Here is a 21,030-nt window from a genome sequence, read left to right on the forward strand (position 1 = left end):
ACAAATGAACAGAGAAGTCAACACATCCGACCCCAAACCCTCAGGACGCTGGCTTGGGTTACATGTGGCCCTCTCTGTGGTCAGTTTGTGAGTAGCCTCCCCGGAGGGTGTGTCCCAACTTCCAGCAGCTGCCGTGGAAAGCCACGTGTCCGCTAAACGCCTACATTACATCAATAAGAGAAACTAAGGAAGGGATGGAAAAGCTATCATTTTTCTTTTCTTCCTCAGTTCTGGCAGTATAGTGATTTAATCGCTGTTATTATTTTTATTTAGTTAAAGCATCAACTTAGGCCTTTTAAATGATGGTAAAAGAGAAAGCTTCAGATCGGGGTATTGGTCAGATCATTCTTACTAGCGATGACCTCTTCGCCTTTGGCACCTCGCGGCTCTTCGCATGCCTCCAAGAATTCCCGGGTCTTGAAACCTACGCGCGGCGGAGGCGACGCCTCTCGGGAGAGGGAGGGTGAAAGAAGGGGCGGGGCTATTTAAATAGCCCGCGAGCTTCGCGTCCCCATTGGCTGCCAGCCTGTCGGTTACCGCGGGGCGGGGAGTCCCGGGGCTGGAGTGAGGTACCTGAGCCGGGCGCGCAGCAGAAAGCCCACGTTGGCCGCTGCGGGGAGCGCGGCGTGGAGAGGCGGGAGACCGAATTCCGGCGCCGCCGCCGCGGCCGCTGCTCGGTGCACTAGCCCCCTTCCTTCCCATCCTTTCTGCGAGCGGGTTTGCTGGGCAGCCGGGCGACCGCCGAACGGAAAGCAAGATCCTCGCCGCCTCCGCTTGAGGAGGCGTGCGGCGCGCGGAGATTTTGAGTGGGAGCGACGGTGCCCGAGAGCTCAGGGGCGCGGAGTTCGTGAGCGAGAAGGAAGTTAAACCTCGCGGAATAGACTGGCATTTCGGGACGCCTTGTCGCCGCAGCCTGGGCCCTGCAACGGGGTAAACTTCATGGTGGCCCTGCGATCTGGGGAGGGGCGTGCGCCACGGTGATGCCGGGCATCTCCCGCAGCTCGTGAGCGGCCCCGCTCCCCGCTGCCCCGGGTCCCACTCAGTCGCCAGGGAGAGCGCGGGGCAGCGCACGTGTGCGGCCAGCGAGGCCCAGAGTGACCGCGCCGCGACTCGCAGGAGCCAGGGCGCAGGCTGCAGTGCAGCCCGGACTCAGACGCACCTGGCCTGGACCGCGCGCCTCTAGAGACCTGCGCGAGGCTGTGAGGCTCCCCTTCCTCCCCTCCAAGCGGTTCTCCTGGTGATCGCCCCTTCGCCACCTCTCTAGCCTGGGCAACTGGGGGCGCCCCGGACGACCATGAGAGATAAGGACTGAGGGCCAGGAAGGGGAAGCGAGCCCGCCGAGAGGTGGCGGGGACTGCTCACGCCAAGGGCCACAGCGGCCGCGCTCCGGCCTCGCTCCGCCGCTCCACGCCTCGCGGGATCCGCGGGGGCAGCCCGGCCGGGCGGGGATGCCGGGGCTGGGGCGGAGGGCGCAGTGGCTGTGCTGGTGGTGGGGGCTGCTGTGCAGCTGCTGCGGGCCCCCGCCGCTGCGGCCGCCCTTGCCCGCTGCCGCGGCCGCCGCCGCCGGGGGGCAGCTGCTGGGGGACGGCGGGAGCCCCGGCCGCACGGAGCAGCCGCCGCCGTCGCCGCAGTCCTCCTCGGGCTTCCTGTACCGGCGGCTCAAGACGCAGGAGAAGCGGGAGATGCAGAAGGAGATCTTGTCGGTGCTGGGGCTCCCGCACCGGCCCCGGCCCCTGCACGGCCTCCAACAGCCGCAGCCCCCGGCGCTCCGGCAGCAGGAGGAGCAGCAGCAGCAGCAGCAGCTGCCTCGCGGAGAGCCCCCTCCCGGGCGACTGAAGTCCGCGCCCCTCTTCATGCTGGATCTGTACAACGCCCTGTCCGCCGACAACGACGAGGACGGGGCGTCGGAGGGGGAGAGGCAGCAGTCCTGGCCCCACGAAGCAGCCAGCTCGTCCCAGCGTCGGCAGCCGCCCCCGGGCGCCGCGCACCCGCTCAACCGCAAGAGCCTTCTGGCCCCCGGATCTGGCAGCGGCGGCGCGTCCCCACTGACCAGCGCGCAGGACAGCGCCTTCCTCAACGACGCGGACATGGTCATGAGCTTTGTGAACCTGGGTAAGGATTTGGGGTAACGTAATGACGAGAACATTTCCCCCTTTTCAGTGTCCCGGGCCCAGGGGATGGAGTGAGGGGGTGGAGGAGCTCCCGGCGCGCGGGTCCCGCCTGGTGCGCCAGAGAACGCGGGGACAGGCAGGCTGTGCTCCCGCCACCTGCGCGGCGGTGGGCGGCACATGCGCTCCCCCGCGCCGCGGGCAGGGCTGCGCGCCGAGGCCCCCAGAGGCGGCTGGCCGGCCGGGCCGCGGGGCTCCGGGAGCGCTGTCCCCAGCGGGCGTGTATTTGCGGACTCCCTGAGCACGTTCCGCGCTTTTTTTCACTTCTGCCCAGCTCTGGCCAGGTTAACTCAACTGCAGCAGGAGAGTCCAGCCCGAGTGTGGCCATCCTGGGAAGAGGGCTCTTCAGTACGATTTTCCCCTCTAAACTGCCGCCTTTTGCCCCCTAACTTGGAGTGCAGTTTTCCCACCGAGACTTTTAGGGAATCCGACAGCGGCTGGGAACTTTGAAAACTTGGCATGAGTATGTTTAGAGGTATCCACGGCACTAGGGGAGGTTGCAGAGGGAAGTCCCAAAAGGACCGCGGAAGGCGCTCGGATCCCGGCCGGGCGGGGCTCGCTTCTGTTTGGGGCGGGATGAAAGCTCAACTGGGGTAATCCATCCTGTGCCCCGGCTCACATGCCCTTGGCCATTGTCCCCAAAGGCTGAACCTTTGATCAATGCAGCCCAAGCTGCACGGGCAGAGAAAGGGTGCGGGGTAGGGGCCGGGGTTGGGCGCTGAGCTCCTCTGAACCGGTTGCCAGGCAACAGAATGGAAATTCACGGGCGGCTAAATGGAGCTCCGCCACAAATGTTCTGTGGCAAACCCGGACCCAGTCACATCGCCCTTTCTCCCCCCTCCCACCCCACTGAGTTTTCTCATCTGTAAATGAGAAGGGTGCAGAGAAGACTCTTTTCTTCGGAGTCAGTGCCTCCGGTTTGCACTGCTTTTCATTCATAAGCTGACTTAGTTTAGCGCAGACATAGGATGGAGGGACGCGCTGTCAGCGGACAGATCATGGGTGCACTGGCTACGCCCGGGATGGTTGCAGCTGCGCGGCGGGGTGGGGCTTCACGGGCCTCCTTCCCATGTGAGACGGTGGTTGTGCCCAGGCCCTGAAGTGGGTGAGCAGACACTCGCCAAAGGAGCACACGGGTCTCCCAGCCACGTCAAAGACGCTCATCTTTTAACGGCATTACTTACTGGAATGATTCCCGCGTAGACTATCTGGGTGATTTCTTTACCAGCCTATCTATGATTCCCAACTCCACTGAGCTTTGAGGGAGAGAACATGGGGGGTAAGAGCCAAGGGAGGGTGTGGAGGCAGGGCGATTGGCATCCAAGTGGTGCAGAAATCCTCCTGGGAAATTCGTGAAACAGAATCTCACAGGAGTCCAGGCTCAGGGCCTGCCAATCTGGCTGCTTGCACTGCCCGGGGTTCTGATTGGACAAGAATTTTCACAATTTATTGGAACCAAATCCAAGGTTGAGCCACCTCCAGGAAGCATTCTAAGGAAATTCTCATGCCAGTCAATAAAATTTGTAGTGGGTGGGGGCCAGGGTGGCAGAGGACCAGCGCTGTTCCTTATTCTAACTTTTCTGCTGCTTCTGACTTAGTAAATTCCTCCCCTTGCTCTCTTCCTCTCCTCTCCTTCCACCCTCACCCCCCGCCCCCACCCCGCCTCCAGGTTTCCTGGCAGCTCTGGGGAAATGTTTTATTGCCTCTTGGGGGTAGTCCTAACCTGGACAAAGGGGAGGAAGACTGGCGCTCCTGGCTACTTCACAGAGAATCGTGTTACAGTCCCTGGGAAAACAATTCCTGGGCTTGAACCGAGGTTCTCAGCATTAGCTGCCCTGTAGTATCACCCGGGGGACTTAGAGTTCTAGGGTTATTAGGGCCGCTTCGTGGGCCCAGATCAGTTAGGTCAGAATCTTTTGAGGGTGGGGCACAGGCATCATTTTTTTTAAGTACCTTAGGTTTTTCTAATATGCTACCGTGGTCAGGAAACACTGGCACAGGAGATCCCAATGTCTGAAGGAAATGGATACATTGTCCCAGTAAGAGATGAAGAGCAAAGCTTTCAAACATTGCTACACATTAGAATCACGTGGGTGTTACGTGGGAGGTAGGGGGGAACGCCTTAAAAAAACCCAGATGCCCAGGTGGCACTCCATATCAAATCAGAATGTGTGGAGGTGGAAACCAGGTAGCAGTATTTTTTTGTTCAAAAATAAAGAGGATCTCCCAACGTTGCCCAGGCTGGACTCAAAACTCCTGGCCTCAAGCAATCCCCCTGCCTCAGCCTCCTGAGTTGCTGGGAAGATAGAAGTGTGCCACCATGCCCAGCAGTGTCATTGTTTTGTCAAGATCTCAGGTGATGTCAGTGTTTGGAAACCACTGCCTTAGATGGTATTTGAAATTTCAAGAGCTGGGCCTAAGGCGAATTTGTAAAGTATAGTCATATTTACTGTATTTAGTGACCCTCCAAATTCCCCTTATTCCTTGCTTCTCTGACTTTTCGTGGGCTACAGGGACACACTGCCTCTGAGTCACACTGCTTAAAGCTGGCTGTCAGCTAATCCTTGCTAGGGTGATGGTTTAACATAGTATCTCCCTAGGGATATTGACATTTTTCGTAAAGGATTTTGAAAGATCTAAAAAAATCCCCTAAAAATTTTTAAGAGAACTCACCCAGTAGTGCAATTCCAGGCCCCAAGACAGGCTGACACAGAACTGAAAGAGAATTCTAGGATGGGAATTCTATCCCAAGCCCCTCATATTCCTATCACTGGGCTCCTTGTACAAGTTATAGCTACTGTAGGTCCACTTCTGGACTCTATACTGATAGTGTGAAGAGAAAACCTTTTGCGGGTAAGTAGAATCCAAGCAGCAAGCCATGCCACCTGCCAATGAAGCAATTCTATTTCATCTTAATCCATGTAGCAATAGGAAAGGGGTATTTCATCATCAGAGGCTAGAATGGGGTAAAATCTGATTGCCATGACTCTGAACATAGGAAGGACAGTTCATTTGAACAAAGTTATTGCGTACCAATGTTGGATTCTCTATATAGGGATACTAGAGAATTACAGATTTCCTAATTGCTGTCAATGCCATGTTAACTGCCACATTACCTGACTCATCTATTAAAGAATCTACAGAAAGATAAACATGACAGCGCTGCGTTTTAAAGTACGCTTATACCTACTAGGTTAAGTAAATTACACACTGGAAGTACAAGGGAAAGTATTACATAGTTGTAAACATCCGACTTCCCTGGGACTGGGGGAATAATTTACTCATGAAATACATTTGAAACACCCCGAGCCTTGTAAGCCAGCCGGACTATCAGGAAGTGTGAATCAACAGGATAAATTTCTCTCTCATAGCGCAAGTGCTGGTCATCCAACCAGCTCATTGTTGTTTATGTTGACTGTTTCAAACTCTTTCTGGGTGAATAGGCTGGGATGTGTCACCTTCTAAATGCTAACCGTCTGCTGCCTGGGCTGCTGGTGTGCAGAGTGCCTGGGTGAGCGAGCTCGTGAACTTGCATTCACTCAGGGCCACAGATGCCATTTTCTATTTGTTTTCTAATGCTAAAAATGTCTTGGCAGCCTAGTCAGCATCCCTGCCAATTTGGTGACCTTGGAGAGGTATCCTTCAGGTCTTAGCTTAAAATTCACCTAAGAGAGACCTTCTCTGCCACTCTATATAAACTGGTCATGCCTCCATCCCACCCACTTCTGTACCATGACAGCACTCTGCTTATTTCCTTCCTTGTACTTATCACAAGTTTTTCTTTTTTCTTGTTAAATTTGCTTACTCATTTGTTTGTCTCCCCTGTAGGATGTCAGCCTCCAAAGGCGGAAACCACGCTAACCCACCACAGTAGCCCAAGTGCCTAACATAATGCTGACCACATGGAAGATGCTTTGAAAAGGCTGAATTAGTGAACATATAGACATAGCCCATGCTTCAAATTCATATTTCACTGATTTGGAAGATTTGATTATTTAGAAAGGGTATACCTGATTTTTATTGAGTAAAATGTTTACAGTGAAGACATTTAGGACAGGGAGGTTCACAGTATTTGAGGTAAATCATCGTGCTTTATTAATACACCTTTTTTATTAGTCACCCATATGTATATTAATTTGTAATATGCATTACATTTGAGAGTAGTAAAAACATTTAATTAAATATCTGCATTTCAGATTTCACTTGTTTATTTGAATTCACGAGGTATTTATCTCCAAATGCTAGGATTAAATGGCAATTTAAAAAACTCAAATTGTGTTCAGAAAAGGGAATCAGTATATATTAGTACAAGCAGCAAGAAACTTGTGCTAAAAATACTGGCAATTTTCTGAACAAAATTACTCTTGGGAAACATAAATAAGAAGAAAAATGGAATACTCCCTACTTGTATTTGTAACTAGATATAATGCGCTATCTCTTTCTCCTAAACATAGCATCAGTAGTACTGTTTTTCATTTAAGCTACCTGTACTTAAGAAGATTTTTGTTAGCAGAAAATAAATCCATGCCTGCAAGCTACTCACAGCAAAAACAGTTTGGAGAATTTGGTTGCAAGAGTGTGATTCAAAGAAGCAGTAGATGTTCTTCTAAAGAGATTACAAAGAGTAAATTTGAAATTCAGTGGCATTTCAACAAAAAAAAGTTGTACAAAGTGTTCTTAAACTAAGATCAAAGGGCAAGCAGATACTATTGTTCAGACCTCAGATGGTGTTTCCTCTGGGTGTCCTTCTAAGAATGGGTATAAATCCTTTTTAAATGTGCTGAATCATGGTTAGTTCCTCTATTTGAGAGCTTACCTCTGATCAGCTTGGAGGAGGGCTTCCCTGGGATAAGAATCTGTTTAAATACAAAAACAATGCTCAGTGCTTGCTTTAGCATATAATTTGTTGCCTCTCTGTGTCTTCAGAGAGTAACTACTTTATATGTTGGATTTCAAATTGATATTTTACTTGACTATGAATACTGGCTAAATACTGGCTATCAAATGTAGTATATCAAACGTAGTATATCAAACGTAGCAAACTAAAAGATAGCAGCTCTGCTGTCTTTGCCTCACTCCTATTTACGAAGGTGAGTTAGACAAGGAAAATGAAGAGGGTACAATGTCTTGCATCATGAAGCAGCTTTCTGTAACTTTTTCACAAACCAATCCTTCACTTTCTGCTTCCCATCTTATATCAAAAATGAACTATTCTAGGGAATGATTTTTTTTTTTTTTTAAGACAGTATCTTTTTCTGTCACCCAGGCTGGAGTGCAGTGGCGAGATCTCGGCTCACTGCAACCTCTCCGTCTCCTGGGTTCAATCAATTCTCCTGTGTCAGCCTCCAGAGTAGCTGGGATTACAGGTCTCCGCCACCACACCTGGCTAATATTTTTTTTTTGTATTTTTAGTGGAGCTGGGGTTTCACCATGTTGGCCAGGCTAGTCTCAAACTCCTGACATCAAGTGATCTGCCTGCCTTGGCCACCCAAAGTGCTGGGATTACAGGCTCACGCCACTGCGTCCGGCCAGGAATGACTATTGTTTAACTTAGCACAACGTCGTTACAGTTTTAATTTTTCTACTTCGATCTTTATTCTATTTTTCTTCCTCTTCTGTTCAGAATTTTAGTCATTTTGCCATCTTTGGTGCTTCCAGTAGTGGGAAGAAAAGTAGACAATATTTTAATTAGACAATTTTGTTTTTCACTAGTTTTCATAAATATATGAGTAAAAGGAGTAGAAATCACCGCAGAAACTCCCTAAGATAGGAATAGACAATTTACCAAGGCCCCATTCACGTAAACAGCTGTTACACATTAACCATCCTGTCCCCCCCTCCCTAGGCCACAGCATAACCCAGCCATGTGCCCAGCAGCTGGGCTGCTCCAGCCGCAGGGTGTCACCTGGGGGGCAGATATAGGGCATAGCTGGCATCTTCTCTTGTGTTCCCCGCAAGGAACCAGTGCATTATGTTGTTCTTATTTCCCTGTTTTCATCACGACAGCGGAGTTAACTTTATTCAAATACACTTTCTTTTCTGATCATACCCTTACCTTCTCTTCAACACCCTCACTCCCATCTCTGATCCAGCTTTTACCCACTGGAAACGTGTGAGTCGGAAAACGGCACTAGTCTCTCCTGGAATATATGAAAGTGGTGATAGTTGTATGAAGGGGAAGGAAAGCCATCACCACTTCGGTGAAAATTAGAGTTAACTCTAATTTTTCAGTGCCATTAACCTCTGAAGTTTCGAGAGTACCAGAAATTCTCAGAACCTGCATTCCCCCTGTTCACCTTTTACTACAAGCATTAGAAATCAGTAACACATTGTGGGTCACTGAAATTTATCAGATTTTGTGTTCAGTCACTAGTGTTTTGAAGATTTTGTTGTCTATACTTTTTTTCCAATGTGAATATGTAGTATTTCAGCACCCTATGCATAAAGTTAAGGGTCTGAAGCCAGGCTGGGAACACAGCTACCATCCCTAACATGGTTTTTCTGGGGACACGTATGCCCCAGCAACAGAAAACCCATTTGGGGTTTATTGGTTAAATGAGTTTGGGATAACTGGTGAATGTATGTTCGCCATAGATCATAGAATTTAGAGCTTGAAAAGTTCTCGCATATCATCTAATCTGTTTGTTCGCAGTTAAATTTGTTAGATGTTTTCACCACCATTTTCTCTTTACTGCTGTTACCTCTTAAGATTGAGGGACAATCCATGAAAACACACAGAGATCCTAGTGCATCAGAGCAATAGGGCTGTTGGCCAGGCTGGAGTGGATAATGAAGGAGAAATTACAAAAGCAGGCAAGAGCACAACCCTGGAAGAGCCGAGGAAACCCAAATCTGGAATTGTTGGGGTTTTCTCTTAGTGGATAGCATCTTCTCCAAGAACTCTACTTTTAGAAAAGAAAATGCTATGTATATCTATAAATGTCCAAAGGACTGTTGACTCCAAAGAATTGTTTTCTGCTCCGAAATTGAGTTGAAAACCACGTTGCTCTGAGTGGCATTGTTCCACTGATATCCACTGATTCTCTTCCTGCCCTTCCCATCTCCATTATTAAGGAGATTGGGACCATAATAGAGATGATATCTAAATTACATCAGTTAATTCCTTGATGGGTCCCCACGGTCTCGTTATCTCAAGCACAGTCCCAGATGACTGGGTCGAAGAATCTCCTTCAAACATTTTTGCAGGATGAGGTTCTGGTTCCAAGTGGGAGAGCCTTCCTGACTTTCAGATTTATAGGCATACGCCCTTGATGACTGATCCTCCTGCTGGCCAGGTCAGGATTGTCCTAGGCCTAAAATGTCCTTGCCACACAGTGCCGATTATATGTTCAGATTGTTTTCATATCACCAAAGAGCTCAGCTGGCCACGGGGGGAAGTGGAGTGGAGTGGATTCACAGGGCGCAGAAAACAGTGCCCCTCGGAGGCAGAGCCCCGGAGCCCGCTCCACCCTGACCTCCGATATCCGCCACGGGCCTTATTATCACTCTCCTGCCGCTTGCCCTTTCACCGTCCAGAACGTCTGCGTTTGTTGATTGTTGTTGCTGTGTTTACAGTCCTGTTGGTTTCCTGTACGTGAACATGGGCTGGAAAAAAAATTCTGATTTGTGTCTCAGCAGAGCATGAGTGAACCATATCATTGGTAAGAGCTGATTAGGCCAGGAGATTTCTTATAATATTAGCCTTGCTTATTCTCTGAGACCAGTTATTTTCCCTCCCTCCTTTTGAATCTATGAATTACATTTAAATAGTCCAAAGACTGAGTTTTGTAAACTACAAAATTAAGGACTAAAAGTTTTTACTTAATTTTGATTTTTATTCAGATTTTATTTGTAGACTCCCATATCGGAATAAGTTAACAACGGAGAAGCTGTACATTTTTTAGAAAGAGAGGGTTTTTTTTTAAGATCAGTTTGAGGTTCACAGCAAAACTGAGCAAAATTTTGCAGAGATTTCCCAGGTACCCCCTGCCCCACAGGTGCACAGACTCCTCCATTATCACCCAGCAGAATTTGGTATCTTTGTTGCAATTGATGAACTTATATGGACACATCATTGTCACCTAAAGTCTGTAGTTACATCCCGGTTCACTCGTAGTGTTGCAGATTCTGTGGATTTGGACAAATGTGTAATGATGTTATCCACCGCTATAGTATCATGCCGAGGAGTTGTGAAACTACTCTGCCCTACAAATCCTCTGTGGAGAAGCTGTACATTAAACAAGGAAAAACAAGTCAATGAAAGTATAAAAATTCAAAATACGCAGAGTTCGGGGAAAGAATTATAAAATACCTCAGTTGAAGAATATTTTGTTTCTGGGGTTTTACTAAAGTGGTCCCTAAGGAAGTAATTTTGATAGTCTATGACAATGTGGGATTTATTTTATAGTGCTTCTATGTGTTGACAACAAATCCATCAGAAATCTTTCTTTTTTCTTTCTTTGTTTTTAAGTCTAGGAGTTTAAAAATCTTTTTTCCTCCGCATAGTTTGACTGAGGTGTCTGTCACCATAGTACCTAGACAATCCCTCAGGCAGAGATATGAGTGATTAAATTTCTCCCTGGCTTGTGCCCTGTTTGATCCATGCTAGGCAGGATTTGGGGGAGTAAAATAAAGAAGCCTGAAGAATGAACAAGAATTATAGGAATTTTGTGCTTGTGAATTATTAAAATTTGGGGGGGTTATTAGGGGAGAGGTTAAATATTTTTCCTTTCTGAAAACTTACATTAAAACTTAATGTGACTTTAGAATTGAGAAACTGACAAAATATCGTACTGGCCCTAAGGGCAGGATCAGAGGACTTTAAAAGGCTTCCTCAGGAGAGACTATTTAGATCAGAGTAAAACTAAATTAACAGAGACTCCATCAATTCAGAGGTCTTTGTAAGTGATATATCGAATAGGCTTATTTGCCTTTGGACTGTTTTCTATGACAAAGCTACACAGGTTAATGGTAAATAAATATGAGAATACAATAATGGAGACAGAAATGTGGTAACTGAAGAGCAGTTCGTTTGAGGGATATTAGGGGTTTGTGTTTATTCCTTTACAAATATTGTGCAGGTGAGACATTTAGTGAATTCTCTCCATCTCTCTTCACGTCAGTTACTCATTGTAGTGGGGTATTACTGAATTCCAGCTAATTTGCCCGCCCGTTATCTCCCACCCTATTCTGCTCCCTTACAGAGGAAACCTCTTAAAAATGGGGAAGAGGGCCGGGCGCAGTGGCTCACACCTGTAATCCCAGCACTTTGGGAGGCCGAGGACGGTGGATCACTTGAGGTCAGGAGTTCAAGACCGGCCTGGCCAACATGGCAAAACCCTGTCTCTACTAAAAATACAAAAACTAGCCAGGCGTGGGAGCACACCTGTAATCCCAGCTACTTGGGAGGCTGAAGCAGGAGAATCGCTTGAACCCGGGAGGCAGAGATTTCAGTGAGCCAGGACTGCACCACTGCACTCCAGCCGGAGTGACAAAGCGAGACTCCATCTCAAAAAAAAAAAAGAGCTTGGGGCCATGGCACTGTCACTGGGCTTGAGAAATTCAGCCTTGTCTCATAACATCTGACTTAGGATGTCCTGTGGTTTAATACTTCTCTGTGGGAGGATAGGTGTTTAATGGAGCAAAAAGAGAAGTGATATCCATGGGCAGGACTAAGGTGTATGAAGGGAAGAGTAAGAAAGCCATAGGTGCCTGGAGCCAAAGATATCTGGAGAGTTGCCTTTCCCCCCATGGAGAAAGGCCATGCATGGAGCAGGCCTTTGCATTTTTATGGGGTCTGTTTAGGGCAGAGCCTTCTAACACCAACTCTTGATTTGTTGAGATTGTTTGACCCTGTTGTTATGCATGCACATACCTGTCATCGTAGGATGATCCCACGTAGCTGCAGGGGTGAAGGAGGTATCCAGTGGATGTTAGAGTCCCTTTCTGTCTTGCTTTCCCTTTTTTTTTTTCTCTTCTTTTCCTCCCATTAATAAAATTGGCAACTCCATTGCACTTATTTCCACTTTCGTATGTGCTCTTACCTATAGTTTTGGAGCCTTTGCTATGGATCTAGCAGAGCAGATTATACACGTCCATGGAGTCTGGGAGTTTTCTACCACAGAAATGACTCATTTTCACCCACTGCAATGGTTAAGTAGCTGGTTTTCTTGACAGTGCTGGAAGATGCTTATGATCGGTTTATTATAGAGGAAAGAGAACTGGATTAATATCCAGGAGGCTTGAATTTGGGCTCTAGTTCTTAGTATTATTCTTTTTTGTAATATTTTCTTCTTTTTTTTTTCTTCTTTTTTGTAATATCTTGTTCAAGCCACTTAACCAAATTTCTAGGTCTCCTTCCTTGTCTGGAAACTGTATTGGCTAGATCAGCATTTTTCAAAAAGTTACTACTTTTCCAAAATGTTCTGCAAGAAAAGGCCGTAGAAGCACTTTCTATTCTATTCCTCTCTTTGAGGTTTACAAATCTTTCTCCTGTTAATGCCCTGACAAGGCCAGAAGTAAAGAAGCCTGCTAACTTGGTTCAGCAGAGTTTGAACTGACTTTTACTCTCTAACCCCTTTTGGCTGAAACCCCCTTGTGTCAGACCCAGGCCTCTCTGCCCCCACACCCACTCCTGAACCTTCTCCTGTTGTCCTCATAGATCAGGGGAGGGACCCTAGGAGGCTGCGTTTCCAGCTGCTCTGCTCTTCTGTGGCTCCAGCTCTCTCTGGTCCCCATCTTATGCTAGGGACCCCTTGGCTCTCCTCCCTCCTTCATAAGAGGGAACGTGGCTTCCTGCAGTTGCCAATCCATGGGCTGCCTCACCACGACCTGCTTGGCCGTGTAGCCCTCCCGCTTCTGTGCCACCAGATCCCTGCATTAAATCCCCTCTGTTGTAAACTCTTGCAGAAGGTTCTCTGTTCCAGGTTGGACCCTCATTGCTAAAGGCTCTTAATTCCCTGGAACACAGTTGAGAAACCCCAGGCTAGATAATTCCCAAGACGATTCTTTTTAAATTTTTTGGTAATGCAGCTTAATTTGACACATTGACGTATAAGGAACAGCTTAAAGTGTACAGTTCGATAAACTTAGACATAGGTAGGCATGGCTGCAACCATCATGGCAGGGAAGATGGTGAACACATTCTGAGCTACACTTTAAAGCATCTCCTGTGCTAGGGAATGAAATCATCACTCCCAACACACAGGAAGTGCTGTGCAAAGTCCCATCTTTCATCGACACCTTGGCTCTTCTTGCTTTTCTCTTACGGGCTTTGTACATCCTTAAGAATGGAATTTGCTGAAGATCCTCATGGCTTGTTTTCTTGGATCAGAGAACCATGGGGTCAAATCTTCATAGGGTCAAGCCTGCTCTTGGCAACTGTGATTGACCTTTACCCTATGTCTCACTTTCCACATTGATTTTGGGAAATAATAATAAAAATAGGCAGACTTCTTTTCTAATTTTGGAAGCAAGTGTCTGGGGGTAGTTTTGCGTTGTGGTGACCCTGTCAGCATTTTGTTTCTAAAGACTGTAATTTAGAAGATTTGATCCTGCCGGAACACAGCACAAAGATGCTTCCCTGTGTTTCTGTTTTAAATTTGGGCAATTTGGGTAGGGCACAAATCCAAGAACTCTAGGAAAGTAGACTCCAATTTACCCCTGACATTTTCCCTATGCTCATCCTTCTCCAAATATTCTGGAAGCTTAAATAGAAACTGCATTTTTTTCTGCACAAAAATACAAGTACTGTATTTCTTTATGGCCTTTTGCCTTAAAGAATGGCTGATGTCACTTATTATCCTATTATCTCAGCAAGGCAAATACTTACACTTTTACAGCTGCAGATACATAAAAGTTCTTACTTTTACAGTAAGAACTAGTAGATAGTAAGATAGGGGAGAATTTGGAGGTTTTTGGAGAAAACTAATATTTAGAGCAATGTTAACTGAATGTTCCAAATAGCACCCAGTCATGTAATAGAACAGTTTTGTGAAATAACTGTCCCCTACCTGCCCACCATTTGGGGAGGTTACTCTTTCCTTCCCACTGTCTTCTCTGCCCTTGTGGTCTGACTTCCATCCCCATCCATCTGCTGAAAGTGTTTCGTTGAAGGCAGCTAATGACTGTCCTGAGTCTTCATCCTCCTTTCCAAAAGCCTTGATCATGTTGACGATGCTTTTTTCCCTACTGGGCTATTTTTTAGCGCTTCTAAAAAATCCTCTCCTTAGTTTCTACAACACTGCCTGCTCACTCTTGGTTCCTTTCCTGTCTTGAAGACTGCTGCTGTATTTGGGGATATTTTCTGAAATACAACAAAAGATTCAGAAGGGTTGGCCTGTGGCATGAGACCTGCACACTGGGCTGAGACAGGACACAGGCAGGGAGCTGGGCATAGGGAGGAGGTCACACCCAGTTGCAGGAGTAAAGAGAGAACATGTGGCCATAGGTCAGGATGATGGGCAGGTACCAGGCTCCCAGGTGACCTGCCACCAAGGCTCGGTGGCCTGGTGGTAGCTGTTGGGTTCAGAAAGTCAGATGCATCTGCAGAGATGTCCCCCAGCTGTGAGTGCCTCCTCACGTGTTTGCCTTCTCTCTTATGACCCATCTGTTCAGAGCATGCGCCAAGTGTGGTCCCATCCCAGACTCATGCAGCACAGCTTTTCTCAAACTTTGTGCAACAACCACTTGTTTTTCAAATTTTTTAGTTTTTGTGGACCCATACTTTTGGGTCCACGAAAATTCATTACAAGTGCATTCGTAGAAAAATGACATGGAAAAAAACCCAAAATATGTTCAAAATCAAGCCTCAACTTTTAATCATTAGATTCCATTTGTAGAAAGTTGTCAGTCAGCTTGCTGTTAAACCATCTAAACACTCCATTTCTGTACTCTCATTGCAAGCTGGTAACAAAGTTTGTGGATCAGCACAGATCTATTAACAAGCAGCTTCTTGGACCCCACCCTGACTCGGGGGATTTGGGTGTGGGAATCTGCACTTCGACAAGCGGTGACTGAGGTTTGGGAACCACAGTGCTAGTTACTCAGGCTTAACTTCAATCTTTGCCCTCTCGCCCACATCAAGTCAGTTGCCAGGCTTAGTGATCCTGCTTTTGAAATCTCTTACTCCCATCTTCCCATCATCTTTTCCATCTATCCCTAAGTTCCCTGCAGAAGGTCTTTATAATCGTTGGCCTTGACTTTTGCACTGGTCTCTCTGCTGTGAATCCCTCCCTGCATCCCTGACAGGCTGGCTTTTCTGTGGTGCAGGTGTGATCTGTTAGTCCTCCTCCATCACCTTCATTGGCTCCTGTGGCCACTAGATTAAGCTGATGTCTCTGAGGTCCACCCTGTCCATCTCTTCTACTCATCTTTCCATATGCTGTTATCCAGCCAGCACACTCTGCTCTGTGATTTTGCCTATTTACCTGGTGAAACTGCCCACTGCCACATTCTCAATTCTGTTTTTTAAACCCCAGTTCAAATGCCATCTCGTTAAGAAAGGCTTTCTGAAATTTGCTTACCCATGTGCCATGGCTCTTTAGAAGAACATTTGGGGCCAAATGACAGGGGACTTGTCCTATGCAGAGAGGCATGGAGCAGCATTCTTTATTATCATTATTATTATTATTATTTTTGTAGAGACAGGGCCTCTCTGTCACCCAGGCTGGAATGCAGTGGTGCGATTATAGGTCACTGCAACCTTGAACTCCTGGGCTCAAGTGATCCTCCCACCTCAGCCTCTTGAGTAGCTGGACTACTAGGCGTGTACCACCATGCCTGGCTAGTTGTTTTAATTTTTTGTAGAGATGGGGTCTCATTATGTTGCCCAGACTAGTCTCAAACTCCTGGGCTCAAGTGATCCTCCCACCTCAGCCTCTTGAGTAGCTGGACTACTAGGCGTGTACCACCATGCCTGGCTAGTTGTTTTAATTTTTTGTAGAGATGGGGTCTCATTATGTTGCCCAGACTAGTCTCAAACTCCTGGGCTCAAGCGATCCTCCTGCTTTGGCCTCCAAAAGTGCTGGGCTTACAGGCATGAGCCACCAGACCCAGCCTAGAGCAGCATTCTAATTTCTGATGCCTGTTTGCAGCTGAGCTGCATGAGGCTTCAACGAAGGAGTTGGAGGTCTGAAGTTCCAGCGTTGGCTCTGCTACCCCTCAGCTGTGGGATTTGGTGAATCACCTTCAACACTGACTTCTCTGATTCCTATCCTATTAAAATGTTTTATTCATCTTTGACACATCCCTCCTCCCCCCAAGTGCCTAGCATGGTGCCTTTCCTTCATCGATACCCAATAAGTGCACATTGAATAAATGTCAGTTTCTCAAAAATAAAACTGGTGTATGCCGTCTCCTTCCATTCTCTCATTACAAATAACATCAAGCATTTGAACGAGAGAATTACAAACTGTGAAGCATGTGTGCTATTATAAGAAATGCTTATTAAGTTCTGTATGTGGCAGTGGTTATAAAAAGGGAAAAGAGAAGTTACCTTCTTGCAGGGTTTATGTTCTGTGACTTTCTAAATTTTTTTAAAGGCTTTGGGAAGAAGAAATATTATTTTCCTTCTATCTGATGTCATTATGACTTTAATAAGTATGAATACAAGTCAGAAAGACATGCCGCTGAGTCTCAATTTAAATTTCCTGGTTGTGCCAGGCAGAAAGCTTCGAGCTTTCATGCATGCAAGGAGGCACGACTCTTCACGCAGGTGCCGTTGCAGAATACTTATCTTGTCAGCTTCCACTTCAGGCTGGTAGGCTTGGCATACATTGTGAAGGTGTTAGACATTCTGTTTACATAAGGACTGAGGGGTGACATAATGTCTATTGAAGCAAAGTCACTTAGCTCCCCGCTAGGCAACAGGGAGCATTTAAAAACTGAAAACTGATCAAAGCCATGGGCAGGATTGAGATACCTTTACCCAGGGGGCGGGTGGTCTCTTGGTTCGTTGCCCGAAACAGATGTGCATTATTGCTTCACTGTATTTCCAGACCATTGGTGAAATGAATCAGGCAGAATTAAACCCTGAGTGGCCAATCCGGAGAGCCTGCTTAAGTGGGCACAAGTGTGTCCAAATAGGTTGGAAAAAATGTCAAATCAGAGTAGGCGCATACAAGATGTGATGTTTCTCTTTTTATAGACTGCTATAAAAGTTGTTTAAAATTAAACAACCCTTCAGTACTTAAATTATGTATAATGAGACAGGTAGGTCCTGGAACAGAGATCTTTCCCCCCCTTCTTATCCCACTTAAATTTTGCACTCCCTACCAGAGTATGTGAGATATAAACACTTTCATTTCCAGGATATAGTGTAGTCTTAGGATGGAGCAAAGGGAGAGAGAGAGATGGCTTGACATAGACCACAGAAGTAGCAAATATCTTTCACATTTTATTCCATGAACTTCAAGGATGTAGCCAAGGGAAAAATGAAAATAATTTCAGATGCATCTGTCCTATCAAGTGGTAATCTTCTGTATTTTACACTTCCAAAATATATGTAGATATAGAGGAAGGTGTATTCTATAGTGTATACTCCCTCTACCCCCCTCCCAAATAAGTAGTTTATTGCTGTTTTGCTTTTTATTTTGGGGGGCTGTATTTAGGAACGAACAATAGTATATAATGTTGCATTATTCAGGGTTGACAAGGTTAATGTGTCTTGACAATCGAAATATCTGTGCCCTTTTTTTCCATTTGGCCGGCTTCTGTTAGAATCATTTATCTTGTGCCTGTAGGATGCAATCTAACTGGGGCACTGCTATTCTCCTCTCAGTGTTGGATGACATGAGATGCTCTTTTCTGAAGCCAATGGATTGGGCATCTCTGATTTCTTGTTCACCTAGAGGACTTTGTTTTCAGGGCAGGATAAATGCTTGTTTATTCTCATGCATGCATGCTCTCCCTCCCTCTCTCATTGAACGTGATGTTTTCGTGGCCCCTTGGTGCTTGAGACCTGGCTCATAGGAAGCTGAACTCAGAATCAAAACTTCTCCTGAGGTGCCACCTAGCATCACTAACCCCAGAGATGACCGGGGTAGCCCTGTTAACACTACACAAATAAAATATGTCACCAGAACATTTCACTGAGATGAGGAATTTATTTCCATGATTCTCTAAGGTTCAACTATAGTACATGCTGCTTTTTCCTACTGGGCAGCAAACATGTTTTACTAAACTCTTACCTAAGTGCTTTCTGTTTACAATTCCACAATGAATTCCTGTCTTCCTTCATGTTGATTTCTACAAATATTGTGATTTACTTCCACACCTTTTTGAGGAAGCAAATTCCAAGTTGTGATGCATCTTTTAACTTTTATCAGCATTTTATTGTGAACAAAATTTCAACATATGGAAAAAGGGGAAGGTTTTACAGCAAATATCTGTATACCCTCCACTTAGATTCTATGATTAACATTTACTGTATCTGCTTTATCAGGTATCTATTCTGTTTATCCATCCATTTTCCCATTCAGCTGTCCATCTTTTTTCTTTTTTGATACATTTCAAAGTAAAGTTGCAGACATCACCGGACACGGTTGCTCACGCTTGTAATCCCAGCACTTGGGGAGGCCGAGGGGGGCGGATCACCTGAGGTCAGGACTTTGGTCTCAAACATGAAGCCTTGTCTCTACCAAAAATACAAAAATTAGCCTGGTGTGGTGGCGGGTGCCTGTAGTCCCAGCTACTCGGGAGGTTGAGGCAGGAGAATCACTTGAACCCAGGAGGCCGAGGTTGCAGTGAGCTGAGATCGCACCACTGCACTTCACTCTGGGCAACAGAGTGAGACTCCATCTCAAAACAAAAAGTTGCAGACATCAGTACACTGCTTTCTAAATAATTCTGCTTGCCTGCCATTAAAGTTCAATGTTTATAGATTTTTGAGGTAAAATTTCTATACAATGAAATGCACATTTCTTAAGCATACCATTTGATGAGTTTTGGTGTGTGTATACACCACTGTAACCCAAACCTCTGTCAAGATACAGAACATTACTAGAAAGTTCCCTCAGGCTGCTTGTTATCTGCCCTGAGCATGGGTGGTCCAGGAGTCACCCAGAATTTAGGACCATAACTCTCTTCATCTTTCCTTTCTGAGGTTCCCTTCCTTTCTGGGATGCCCCAGATCTGTTCTCTGATTCTCCGGGCAGAAAGGCTGTTGGTTTCCTGTTGGCATTCCTGCTGGCCAGCCTGGTGCAGACCAGGCCCTCCCTTTAAGCCAGAAGTCATGAAATTGGGAAATACATACAGTGCTGTTTCCCGCCTCCAGTATCAGTGCCCAGAATGTGCCTAGTTTTGGTCAATCTCCAGTGCCTTCAGGTAGCTGGGTGTTATTTTTTAAAAATCATTTTTGCCAGAGTTTATGTTTCTAATCTGTGGGAGGGTCAGTCCAATAGGATCGTATTGGCCATTGCCAGAAATGGAACTCTGTTCATTGTTTTAATAATTTTCTGTGTGTGGAATGCCCAAAAGATCTATTTATAAAAGGATTTCAAATAGCCTATGAAGGAAAAAGTGTATAGGTCCTGTTGCTGCATTGTGTTATGTTCTGGGAGATGCAGTGACAGTGTGTCTCTAAAAAAATGGCATCTAAGGACTACTTGACACACCCTGAACAAAGAGTCTCACTCTGTCACCCAGGCTGGAGTGCAGTGGTGCAATCATGGCTCAAGGCGGCCTCAAACTCCTGGGCTCAAGCGATCCTCCCACCCTAGCCTCCTGAGTAGCTGGGGCTACAGGCGTATACCACCACACTCAGCTATTTCTTTTTTTGTAGACATGGGGTCTCACTATGTTGCCCAGGCTGGTGCCTTAATTCCTGGCCTCAAGGGATCCTCCTACCTTGTCTTTCCAAGGCACTGAGATTACAGGCGTGAGCCACCATGCTCAGCCTTGAATAAAAGGTTTTTAAACTCAGGGAGTGTCTTCAGTGTTAGACATGACAGAGTTAATTTGGTTGTCCAGTGTTTATTGGTCCCTTTCAAGGCACTGTGGTGAGTACTGGCTGCAGTAGGGAGGGGGCAGGATGAGGATACAAATGACAGGAAGATGTGGCAGCTGGCTTGAGGGAAGGAGGAGATGCACAGACAGCTGGCCCAAACAGAGCATGATGGTATCTATGATAGAGGTGAAAAAAAAAAGAGGCCGGGTGTGGTGGTGCCTGCCTGTAATCCCAGCTATTCGGGAGGCTGAGACAGGAGAATCACTTGAACCCAGGAGGCGGAGGTTGCAGTGGGCCGAGATTGCGTCACTACATTCCAGCCTAGGTGGCAAGAGCAAAACTGTCTCAAGAAAAAAAGAGAGAGAGAGAATATTGAGGGAGCACCAAGGAAGGTATGGTTAAGTTCAGGGTACATGACATTCAGGCTGAGCGTGGAAAGAGAATTTGGATTTCCCTTGGTAGGTATAGAGGCAAAGGCATTCCCGCCGGAGGAATGCATCAGGGGCAGTGTTGATTCGATGGTGCTGCGGGAGCCCTGAGAGGTCCGAGGTGCCTGAATCCGAGCGTGAGTGGCTACTGGTGCTGGCACAGTACTCGGCAGGGGAAGAGATTGCAAAGGTAGGCTGACGCCAGATGCTGAGGGATAATGAAGCCAGTCTAAGGAGTTTGGACTTTATTTTGTAGGCAATGAGGAACTATTTACAACTTTTTAGTAAGACTGTGGAATGACTGATGTGTGCTTTGGGAGATATTCCTGGCTGCAGTGTGGAAGAGGCCTGAAATGGGAGACGAACTGGGGCATTTTTGCAATTGTCTAGGTAACATCCCCCCTCCCGTTTAATCTGTATTTACAGCATTTGAGGGTCTTTTTGAAATTTTAAAATAGTTTACATTTTTTCTTTCCTGCAATTAAATTTA

At 46.6% G+C, this 21,030-nt stretch overlaps 1 protein-coding gene across 1 annotated transcript in view, besides 2 other annotated features; it reads left to right on the plus strand.

Annotated features, from left to right (window-relative positions):
- The first annotated feature begins 591 nt into the window (after positions 1-591).
- BMP6 (bone morphogenetic protein 6) overlaps positions 592-21,030 on the plus strand; it is a 155,630-nt gene continuing 135,191 nt past the window's right edge. The window contains exon 1 of the mRNA NM_001718.6: positions 592-2,112. Coding sequence (NP_001709.1) covers positions 1,449-2,112 — 664 coding nt within the window. The 5' untranslated portion in view covers positions 592-1,448. The remainder of the gene's footprint in view (positions 2,113-21,030) is intronic.
- Positions 9,118-9,618: an enhancer, noted in NCBI's record as "H3K4me1 hESC enhancer chr6:7734858-7735358 (GRCh37/hg19 assembly coordinates)". NCBI's record gives its function as "activates a minimal SCP1, AML or CMV promoter by ChIP-STARR-seq in primed H9 embryonic stem cells {active_cell/tissue: H9 hESC(primed)}" and the evidence as "EXISTENCE:reporter gene assay evidence [ECO:0000049][PMID:30033119]".
- Positions 9,619-10,119: an enhancer, noted in NCBI's record as "H3K4me1 hESC enhancer chr6:7735359-7735859 (GRCh37/hg19 assembly coordinates)". NCBI's record gives its function as "activates a minimal SCP1, AML or CMV promoter by ChIP-STARR-seq in primed H9 embryonic stem cells {active_cell/tissue: H9 hESC(primed)}" and the evidence as "EXISTENCE:reporter gene assay evidence [ECO:0000049][PMID:30033119]".

The sequence above is a fragment of the Homo sapiens genome, chromosome 6 (genome assembly GCF_000001405.40).
Source record: "Homo sapiens chromosome 6, GRCh38.p14 Primary Assembly".
Taxonomy (NCBI): domain Eukaryota; kingdom Metazoa; phylum Chordata; class Mammalia; order Primates; family Hominidae; genus Homo; species Homo sapiens.